At 36.3% G+C, this 12,361-nt stretch overlaps 1 protein-coding gene across 1 annotated transcript in view; it reads left to right on the forward strand.

Moving 5' to 3' along the window:
* Positions 1-12,361, forward strand: part of ZNF804B (zinc finger protein 804B) — a 578,829-nt gene that overhangs the window by 291,356 nt on the left and 275,112 nt on the right. The window lies entirely within an intron of this gene.

A 12,361-nucleotide genomic window follows, 5' to 3' on the forward strand; every position in this document is an offset into this window, starting at 1 on the left:
GCTACACAATGTTCCATAATATAGATGTATCAATGTTTTCAACTATTCATTTATTTATAAACCTTCAGATTACTTTTTCATTTTATCTCTTCTACAAGAAATGCTGTGTTAAAGATCCTTGCCTGTGTGTAGGTGTGTGTGCATGTATACAGTTATTTCAGTAAAAAAAAAATTCCAGAAGAGTTACTACTATAAATTTTTAAGTAGGTATTACCAAATTGTTTTTCAAATAATTGTATCAGTTGATAGTCTCACAAGTAAACTTTTAGGAACCATTTACTTTCAATGGCCAAAAGAAATTGATACTATTACCAAGTGATTTAAATGTAGAATTTCAACCATTAATACGGAATTATTAAAAGGATATGAGAATGAATTTCTCCACATGTTATCAAGTGCTGGATTTTATTGTTCCTGTTCATTTTTACTGGATTCAAAAGCCCAAAGTTTGCTATTTTACCATTCAAGCTTCTGAGTCCAGCAAATACCAATTTTAATATATGCCAATCTGATAAGAAAAACATGATCTTCATGTCCACTAGTGAGATTTAACATCTTTTCATATACTAAGAGTCTATTTTGAATTTTATTTTGTCAATTATGTTTCAGTTAATTCCCTTTAATCTTTTAATTTTTGAGTTTTATTTCATCTTATAAATTTATGAGTTTCCTTTGTTTATCAAATATATTAACAATTTGCAGTATAGTGTCATGGTTACAAGCACAGACTGGTGTCAGACTACCTGCCTTCAAATCCTGTCTTCCACATCTCTTACCAGTGTGTCTTTAGGGAAGTGTCTTGTCTTCCCTGTTGTCCAGTTTCTTCATTTATAAAATGGAAAGAATACCAAGACCTCCCTCACTGGGCTGTTTTGAGGAAGAAGTGTTAGCTATTAATATATACACATTTTCCCCTTGTGATTTTGTTTGTCTTTGAACTTTGGGATATCTTTCATTTTACCAACTTAAAGGTTTTTTTGTTGTTAAATATGTCTAATTTGTTTTATGGATTATGCATTTTCTTTCATTTAAAGATCTCTCCCACTCCTAACTCTTTTATTGTTCAGGTATTAACTTTATTTTTTATTTTTTATTTTTTTGAGACAAGGTCTCAGTCCGTCACCAAGGCTGGAATGCAGTGGTGTGATTATGACTCACTGCAGCCTCCAGCTCCTGGGCTCAAGTGATCCTGCCACATCAGCCTCCTGAGTAGCTGGGACTACAGGTGTGTGCCACCATTCCCAGCTAATATTTTTTAATTGTTTACCATCAGTTTTATAATTTTTCTGTGTATTTCCTAAGTTTCTAAATAACTAGTAAATTACAGGATAACCAAAGCTATGCTCAGTGATTGCTGGTGCTAGATTGCATATATGAAATAGCTGTAAAACAAGAAGTAATTAAAATAGTAAATAATTTTCATTATTATAGATTTTGAAACTAAGGCAAAATTGCTACATTGAACATTACAATTTAAAAGTACACATCAAAGAAGCATTTATTATTTTATTTATTTGAGGTCATTTTCACCAAACTAGCAACTTCATGGGTACAAAAACATTGAATGGCATATAGTTTCTGATTTTGTGTCCCTGGTTAATGACAGGAAGCACAGAACTCAAACCTCGTACACAAGGAACCCATCTTACTATGGCTTTCCTATCCAAGCATTGCCTCAACAAAACGTACTCACATTTAGCCCAATTCATTCTTTTTCAGGCATGTGGAATAATGATATTCAGATTTTCTATGAAAACTGATATTTCCCACACTCACTTCTTTGCACTGCAGTTTAAGAGTGTATGAACACTACTTACCCTTTGGTCATCCATGTTTGAAAGACATATTTGGGCTTTCACATTTTTCTGTCACCTAGTTAGTGTAAAACTTGTCTGTATTCCTCCAGCTTAATTAAGATCAACTGTGCTTAACAAAGTCATTGATTTCTTCTTTAACATTAAATCGTATTCCAAAAGAATCGCCAACTTCTCTTGATACATACAATTTAATTCAGGTATAATTATAACAGTTTTATGGTATATTGTTTTTATAAAATTAAATAGAATGTTTCTTACAGAATTTTGTAAAAGACGTTCTGGTTGTGATTTCTATAGTAAAGCTGTCAGAAAGCTGGTCTGTCGAATGAATAAGTGACATTACTGTAGTCAAAACTACACTTTTATTGCTTTTACCTCCTTGTTGTATTTATAGTACCTAGTCATAATTTCTAATTTGACAGACACTTGAGTCTTGTTGCTGTACTCAGTGGTGTTTCTTGTCACTCTCTCTTTACCTCAGGTGCTTTCATTTCTGCATTTGACTCCAGTATCTAGAAAATCATACATAATGGCAATTTACACTGAATAATAAAGTAGACTTGTGTGAATTTTTTCTTGAGCTATTCATTTTGAACTTCAAGTCAATATTAATAATATCAACATTAAAAGTAAACTAATTTGCAACTGAACTTTGCAGCAGGGATCAAGGAAGAGTTTTGCATAAATGTTACTATATTATTTTTCAGTATCATAAATTTTTGATTGTTTTTGGCTATAGTCATAGTTTTTCCTGTTTCAGATGATCACTTTTGATTTCCTTCCTCTTCTCTTTTCTTCCTTCCTTCATTTTTTCCTTCAATCGCTTTTCTTCTTTGCATTTCTTGCTCTCTCTTTCTCTCTCTCTCTCTGGTTTAATATAATTGATTGTATACTCTTATGCACTCAGAAAAAAGTCTTAAAACCTCTTATCTGAACTGATACTTTGTATTGAAGAGAGTAATATGAAAATTGTAGGCAGAAATTGAAGATCTTACCTAATTGGATGTTGAATGTTGGTCCTCCCTTGTCTCAGATGGGGAGAATATAGGTAACAGGTTTTGTCTATGTTGAAGTGTTATTTGTCACTCACTATTCAATTACAGTACTCATATATGGCTTTAACCTCTTTTAACCTGCACAATTACATTTTCACAACTATAGCTATGGTGCCACTTAAAATGTGGTTATTTGTCTTAAAATTGTTCACCAAATTTCATGTGGAATTCTAAGCCTGATCTCCTTGGAGATTTGAGTCATTTGATAGGTAGAAGTTCATAAGTAGTTAGCCTGGTTCTCTCCTGCTGTGTTCTTCTCTTCTCTGGCATTTGCCCTGTATTTTAGGAAATTAATTGCTGTCTTATATGTGCCTATTATACAAGAATAAAATAATTCTCATATATTCATATATACTTATATATAATATAAATATATATTATTACTAATATATATTTATATATTATTTGAAACCTTATATATTCTTACTATATATGAATAAAACACTTTCTGGAGAGAAAAAAAACAGACATCAGAGTCGTGCCTGGGATAGCCTATTTGATAAATATTTGTTGCATTATTTCCTACATGAATGATGGCACAATACATTTTCTTTTAAAGATTAGCATTTCAGAGAGATGCTCAGACCATACCACTTCTAAGGAAATGATTGTGGCTTAGAAAGGAAGGAAAGAGGAACAAGAAGTAGTAAAGGATGGTTAAGCACTGAGTAAGCTTTTTTTTCATTTTTGTTATCTGGCATAAAGCATTAGGAAAAAACAACTCTATTTTTCCAGATGTCCCAGTCTTTCAACTGACATATTTACAGCTAGAGCACGCTTATTCATTTATTTATTTATTTTTGGAGTGGAGGAAGAGGAGGTAGTCAGGTGGTTTACAAAAGGTGGATTTCTAAGTCTCTGTCAACATAGACCAACCCTGCTGGACCTCATACTTTTTCCCCTTCCTCCCTGTCATCCTCATTTTTTTCCTTTCTTTAAAACTACATTTTGAATGTCTACTTGAATACCTGTTCAAGGCATTGATACTTATCAGTAAATACAATGGCCAAGAACTTTGCTACCATGTAGTCATTACCTTCTACAACAGGAAGAAAACTAAAATAAAGCAAACACTCAAATACCAAAATTTAAGATAGTAATAATTACTATTATAAACAGAGTAATGAGTTAAAGAGTGATGGGGTGAAAGTGATGTTAAGTGTTGACTTAGATTGACTGGCTATGGAAGACCTTCTTGAAAAGGTTAATTTTGAGGGATGACTTGACCAAGAAAGTTCGGTTATGGGGAAATCTGTGGCAGAGGGAAGAATCCTTCTGAGGAAAGGCTGAGTACAAAGAGGAGGCTTATGTGACTGGAACTTGGAAAGTGAAGACAAGAATGGTGGAAAGTGAAGACAAGAATGGTAGAAAGTGAAGGTCCAGGTTTTCTAAACCTTGAAGACTCCTGTAAGTTCAATGAGAAGCCAAAGGGCTGTTATAATAGCAAAACGCTAAGATCTGATTTGTAGTTTGGATGCTATATGGAAAAGGGGTTAGGTATAGGTTAAAAGAATGAGCACCGGGATTGGGGTGATTAGGTCCATCAGTAATATTTGTGGGCCTAGCGCAAGAGGAAAAATGGAGGGAAATAAATGGGATGGAAGGTTAATCACATGTCACAACAAGGTTGGATCTTACCAGTTTTGTCTAATTCCTGATATCAACTTCACCTCTAAGCAGTTAGAAGTGGGGGAAAGACTGCCCACCCGCTTCCTTTGTCCAGTGAAAAGTCTCACACATGCGAGTGAACACTGTAGCTATTTAGGCAGGAAATTCCATGGTCCTTTGCATTTGGAAAATATGGCAGCCAGGGAAACCTTCCCCTTATTGCTCTGGAGGTTTGCTGCAAAAAATCAATCAGAAAAAGGTGAGGGGTAGAGCTGCACAGGAACAAGTGTATAATTATGCAGATTCATTTCCTCAAGTAATTTCTTGGCGCTGCTCTTAGAAGAATAGATGAAAGCTCTGTCTGGATGTGGTGATAACTCCAAGTCTCTTCTCAGGTGGTTGATTTTTCCTGGTTATTTGATGAGATCACTTAGGGTGAGGATTTAAGACAATTGTATTTCTTTTGGAAAGAAGCTTTCTTGGTCAGATGAGGAAATTCCAAAGAGACTCTCTCCCTGTAATTGGAAGTGGAGATGCAAGACAAGGTTAGAGGAGCATTGATTCTGAGTCATCTTCAAAAGCCTCTCAGTATATCAGAGTGCCAGTCTTTGGGATATTGCTTTTTGAGTCCCAACAAAAGGGATGGATAAGTGGGTTTGTGAACTTTCAAGGATGTAAACACTTGGTCTCAAAGATTCCTTGTCCTGTAGCATAGGATAAATGTAGAGGTGGGCAAAATTGGGCCCAGTAAAGCCTGAAGCCCAGGGGCACATACCCTGGTTGCTGAGCTCTAAGGGAAGTGTCATTACTGATAACATTAAACATAGAGAAAAGTAGAGAGGTGCTATGTATGTTTAGAAGTAAAATCAACCAAGTTGAAAACGGGGTTTGAGGAAAATAGACAGTATGTGTCTTCTTAGAGCTTATGATGTAGCAAGGAAAGGAGACGTAAGGTCAGGGGAAGACCTGTTAAAATTGAATACAGCAAAGAAAATCCCTCCTGCCTCCAGTCCTAGATGCCTTTTTCTTGCAGTATTTTTGATATGACACTGAAATAGGACTAAACTTCTGTAGGAAAAGCATAATACCAACCAAATCTCAAATAGTCAACATAATACTTTTCCAGAAAATAAATGGGATCGAAGGTTAATAACCTGTCACAACAAGGTTGGATCTTACCAGTTTTGCCTAATTCCTGAAATCACCACATACCTCTAAGCAGATAGGAGTGGGGGAAACACTATAACAAGAATAGGTTCATTGCCTGATGCACACAGCAAGTCAATACACTAAGACTCTGGGTTGCAACAGAGGAAGAGGTTTAGTCATCGTGTCACTGAATGAAGAGATGGGAAGAAACCTCAAATCTATCTTCCAGGGGAATTTGGGGTTAGGGTTTTAAAGGTTTTGGAGTGGGCTAAAGTGTGAAGATCGTTGATTGGTCAAAGAGTGCAGGGAGAAGTCATGGGACAGGGAGAGGAAGAAGCTGTATTTTCATGCTGGTCCCATTTCTCTGAGGGGGTCCTCCAACTTGTTGCTGGAATTTGGAGTCCAAAAAACATCTTAAGCGATAGATTCTTAAACAAAAGCTTTATGATTGTAAAGTCAGAGATCCTGTCTATAGGAACAATGGGGATGAAAGTCAATTCTTAAACAGTCTTATGACCCCAGTGTCAGGAATCCTGTCTGTAGGAACAGTGGGGATACAAATGGTCAGTAACCAATGCTAACATGACTTTCAGCGCCAAGAAAATAGGTCAAAATGCAGCCGGATTGATGCTTAACTATAACTATATTTCTGTCCAGAAAGTGGCATGCAATTCTTATCAACCCTGGGGAGGGGGCAGTTTCAAGACTAAAGAGATAGGGAGGCCAAAAACAGTTTGCTCAGACCATCCAATGACTGGAGCTCAGAGTGAGGGCTACAGTTCCTTGAAGGACTAGGAAAGCAAGGAAAAACCCTCTTCATTTATTTAAAAACTCATTAATTAATTAATTAAAACTATACCATTCGAAGTCACTGCTGGGCACAGAGAAGTGTTAGTGGAATTTACATTGTTTCTGACTTTATCGATGTCCAGTGTAATAAAGGCATTCAGTGGGGGTGTGAGGGATGAAGAGAGGTGAGGCTGAGTAGAGGCAGAAAGGAGCCCAGTGGCAAATGGCCAATGAAGGAAGCAGGCCACTGTGGAGTGGGGTTAGAGTAGAAGCAAGTGATGTGATGTGTTTTATTATTCTGTACTATTAAATTTTTGGTCTAAATCTCCTTGATTTCCTCCCCAGATCAAGAAGTTGATTTCCTGTCTTTGAGGAGCTTGGTCAAGGGATCCTAATTTCAAACATTATGAAATGCAGGGGTGGACAAAGAAGTACATCATTATTACAAAAACTAATCTAGAAAATGACACAGATTAAGTGTGCAAGTAAAGAGAACAACTGAGGCATTTATCAATATTCTATCCCAGAAAAAGAGAAACGTTCCAGAGTCTCTTGGGGGAGGTCAATTCTCAGGCCAGTGGTTTAATAATACAAAACAACATTAACATAGCAGCCCATTTCATTAACTTTGATTACACTCCTCTGGATGCTTACTTGCCCTTAGTGACTGTTAGTAAGATGTTTTCCCTATATTTATTAGGAAAGCAACCTTTATGTTAAAGATCTGCAAATAAAATAATGTGTTGAAATATGGGGATATTTTGAAACTGCTTAGGTATGGTGAAAGTTAATGATTTCAGTTACATCTTTATAATTACTGTCATCAGGTTTCTACCTTTATGGCTTCTTAATTGTTTAAAGATCATAAAACAGAAAATTTAGCACAAGCTTGAGAAAGATATTTTATGGTATAACATAATTTTATATTGATATTATCACTATAAAAAGATTAACAATGGATTTTACTTTCTACACCTTTGATTATTATTTTAACTATAATATACTATGTAGTCTGTAGCATAACATTCCTACTAAACAAACACTCTGTTTTTATTTAGAAACAAGCATTTTTTAAGGTTTTAACTTTTACCAGGCTTACCCTGTTGATGCAAAATAAGGAATGGGGGGTCTGGTAGTACATGAAGGGAAAAAGACAGGGTGACACTTCCCACTGGGGAAAGTCAAATTTACCCCTCAGAAATGTGGCAGTGAAGGGTTTTGTTTGTTTGTTTGTTTGTTTTTAGATAGGGTTTCACTCTTGTCCATCTGGAGTGCAGTGGTACAATTTCAGCTCACCGCAACCTTGACCTCCCAGGCTCAGGTGATCCTCCCACCTCAGCCTCCAGAGTAGCTAGGACTACAGGCCTGTGCCACCATATCCAGCTAATCTTTGCATTTTTTTTGGAGACAGGCTTTCGCCATGTTGCCCAGGCTGGTCTCTAACTCCTGCGTTCAAGTGATCTTCGAAGTTTGGCCTCCTAAAGTGCTAGGATTTACAGGTGTGAGCCATCATGCCCAGCTGGAATGGTTCCTTTCAGGCTAAATAATTCTCTTTTGGTCAAATTCATTTGCTTCATTCTAGTGTATTGAGACTGTACTCATGAAACCAGATGGCTATCATAATCCCAAAAAACAAAATCCTAAATATAAATATCGAAATCCTGAAACCCAAATTCTGGGGAAGGTATTATTGCATTTTCAGTTGTATGCAGGATGGTTGCTTCATGTTAGTTTCATCACATTAAGTGAAATTATTACTTTGTGCATTAGTCTGTTCTTTCATTGCAATAAAGAAATACCTGAGGCTGGGTAATATATAAAGAAAAGAGATTTAATTGGCTCACATTCTGCAGGCTGTACAGGAAGTGTGGCGTGGGCCTCTACTTCTGGTGAAGGCCTCAGGAAGCTTACAATAATGGTGGGAGGCAAAAGGATAGTAGGCGTGTCACATGGCAAGAGTAGAAGCCAGAGAGAGAAAAGGAGGAGATCTTAGACTCTTAAACAACCAGATCCTAAGTGAACTGAGCAAGAACTCACTCATCACCAAGGGGACTGCACTAAGCCATTCATGAGGGATTCACCATGATCCAGTACCTCCCACCAGGCCCCATCTCCAGGACCAAAGATCACATTTCAACATGAGATTTAGAAGGGGCACACATCCAGACCATATCACTTTGTTATTGTTTTTATTTGGAAATAAAATATAGTTTAAAGACATATGTATGCATACCAAGTTGACAAGGGCTATTCTGACTTGTGGGACTTAATTTTGGATGTCAACTTGAGTGGATTAAGGAATACCTAAAAACCTGGTAAAGCATTATTTTGGGTGTGTCTGTGAGGGTGTTTCTAGAGGATATTAGTGTGTGAGGTTGAGCAGACTAGATGGGACATGCTGTCAGTGTTGGAGAGCACCATCTAATTGGCTGGGCCTGGAGAGAATGAATACAGAAGGTGAATTGTCTTTCTTTGAGACATTCTTCTGCTGCCTTGGAAATTAGAGCTCTGGACTGACTCACTAGGCTTTGGACTCCAGGACTTACACCAGTGGTAACCTGGGTCCTCAGGCTTTCAGAGCCCTCTGACTGAGAGTTACACCATTGGCTTCCCTGGTTCTGAGGCCTTGGGACTTGGACTGAGCCATACTATCGGCATCCCAGGGTCTCCAGCTTGCAGATAGCCTGTCATGGGACTTCTCAGCCACCATAATTGCATAAGTCAATTCTGCTAATAAGTCCACTATATCTATATACATGTCATATTGGTTCTGTCTCTCTGAAGAGCCCTAATTCAGATTTGGTACTGGGAAAGCTGAATATCATTTCTTCTTACTGTATTCCTTACAACATAATGGAAGAGAGCTGTGAAATTGTTCTCTTGCAAAAAGGCTGTGATAAGTGAAGGAGTCTACTTAATGGTAAAGATAAAAGCTTAAAAGTGAATTATTATTGGTGCTATGAAAGCAGAAAATCACTTAATTGAAATGGCAGAGCAATAACCAGACTGTCAAGTGGACAGCATCTACTTACAAAATTTGTCGATCACAACCACTCTGCTAATCTATATGCCGTGGTTTAAAGATCACAGAAGAGGAGAAAATGCAGGTGAAAAAATACAAGAAATCTCCCCTGCCAAGTTATTTAATCATATATTAATTCTACTCCTCCACACATAATGCCAATTTGATGTGCTATGTATTTCATCTTTGCATCATTTCCAGTACTGAGATATATATTGTACGAAGATTTTTAGAGTTTTAATTTATCTTATACATTTTTGCGAAATTGACTCCACAAAAGTGAGTTAACACAATGTTGACTTCGTGTGTAAGCACTGTGCATGTACATAAAAAACACTGAAACTTAATAAATGAAAAGATGTCTTTTTTGTACATCGGCATTTGTGAAATACATTTCTTGATATCCTGGCTTTATTGGCAACTGCATATGGAGTGGTGACACAATAAAGTTTTTGGTCAATGTCATCAAGATTTTGGTTGTCTGTCCTGGTATTTCAGATGAACACAGTTATAAAGCTGGGTGCACACAATTACCAACCGTAGTAATATGTATTTATACATTTCACTTTTTAACTTTTTTATCACTATGGTTTGTCTGCTCGTAACTGTTATACCCTTATGACTGTTGTTAGTATACCTGAATGTTTATGCTTGCAAAATATGTATGTTATTATTGCCTATTTTATGGTTAATGTAGCCTATAAAGTGTTCTGTTGTGTTTGCATATTATTCTCAAATATCTCCCTTTAAAAATGTAAATATGTGTCTTTCAAATAATTTTTTAAAAATGTCCAGAATTATATTTTTGAAATTTTGATCTTTTGGGACTTCAGCATTTGGGATTATGGTGTTTGGAATTATATCTTTTGTGACTCTGGCCCAAACCCCATGAAAATGTGTGTGTGTGTGTGTGGTGTATTCATATCAGGGAAACGACACACTAGAAAGTGTGAATTTAAGCTTATGTTCAAAATTTCAACTACCACCTACGCATTTTATAACTCTGAAATGTTTATATTCAAAACAGTCCATGCCCTCTCCTGAGACCCACACATATTTCCTAGAGGCAGCACTATTGTGGATAAGAGCAGGGATTTTGAAGTAAGATAGTTCTAACCGTGTCATATCCCAGCTGTGTAACCTTGTGTGAGTTACTCACCTCTTTGTGCTTCACTCAGTTTCATTTCATAAGTTTTATAAAAATTAAGAGAGTTAATATATATAAAATGCTCACATCAGTGTCTGGTAATAGTGCTATATAAATGATCACATTTATCATTATTAATATCATATCTTACTGTCTATTGCACATCTCCATCATCAGGATGTCTCACAAACAACGAAACTTAGTGTGTTCTCAAATTAACTTTATCTTCTCGTCTCTACCTCTCTCCCAATCACCTCCTCTTCTGTATACTATATGTATACTCTTGGCCAAGTCAGTTATCTTGGTTTCCTTCAAACATTCATCACTCCCAATTCCTAGGGGGTCAGTTATTCTTCATATACTCATCAAAAGCACTTGTCTTCCCAGCTGCTAGTGCTCGAGGCAGACTGGATACCGTATCCAGGAGGCATCATCATGATATCTTCCTGATGACCACTACTTCCAGAAAGAAGGCCCTTCTCATCTACCCTTTACTCTGTCAATAGGAAGTCTTTCTTAAATAGTAAACAGAAATATACAATCCTGCCACTCACATACTTAGAAATCATTCTGTGGATCTCCATTCTTTACAGAACATTTGAACTTCGTGACATGGAATACAAGGCACTCATAGTCACCCCTGTAATTACTTCATCAGCAGCCTCTTGCTTTTGCTCCCATCTCCAGCTGGACCTTGTTAACTCCCTTCACACCCCATTTTTACCACTCCCAAACCCTTGCCCTAAGCAATATTGACCTGACTTCTACCCAGCCTCCACCTCAAAAAGAGTTAGCACTCCTCTCTGCGTTTTCTTGGCAGTCTCTCCAAAATGACTTTTGTCATATTATTTTGTTATTTTTATTTATATATTGATATTTTTTTCTCATTTTGACTATTAGCTCTTTGAAGGCAAGACTATACCGTATTATTTTTGTTTCCTGATACTTAAAGTAGAGCCTGCTATACAGTAGGTGTTCAGTTAATATCTTTTCAATTAGTGAAGAAAGTAGTCTGAGGTAAGTCAGGGAATTGACTGCTGACGACTAACACATCATCACCTGCCCATTATTTCCTATTGAGTGGACCCAGTCAACTCATGCTTTTATTTTCCAGATTCATTGAGGCGAGTATAATCAATTCAAAGTGACAGGTAATTCCTACATACTTATTTATATTTGTATGCTTTTTTCCTACCTTCTGATATTTTAAGGATCCACTTATGAAATAATAAATTTACATTATCAGAAGAAACTTGCTATGAATAGAAGCTTAATAGTGGATTAAAGGCAGAGTTGTTCTGAAATTTTACTTTGCCCTTATTAGCTTTTGACCTTAGGATAGGTGTACCTTCTAAGATACATCTGAAAATTTGACATAATAGTAATACTTTATTTCATGATTGTTGTAAGAAGTAGGATAATGTATTTGCAGTACTTAGTACAATGTTAGACATGAAAGTAAGTATATTGTAAGTATTAGCAATCGTTATTATTTGTTCAACTATAGTAGAAGTATCCTCCCCAATTAGAAAGAAATGATACAAAATTGCTGGTCAAACTAAGCTATATATTTTTTTCTTTATCATCATGAAAATGGTTAAATTTGGGGCATTTTGAGGACCTATTGCATGTCTGATGCTGTGCAAGACTTGGAAAACATATAGCTATTTACTTATGAGAATAAATTCTTTAGTCAATTAGCTCATAGTCTATGGTTTCAAAAATGTTCATCTTTAGAATACATATTAGAAGCAAAAGAAAATAGGAACCTAGC

Source organism: Homo sapiens, chromosome 7 (assembly GCF_000001405.40).
Source record: "Homo sapiens chromosome 7, GRCh38.p14 Primary Assembly".
NCBI lineage: Eukaryota > Metazoa > Chordata > Mammalia > Primates > Hominidae > Homo > Homo sapiens.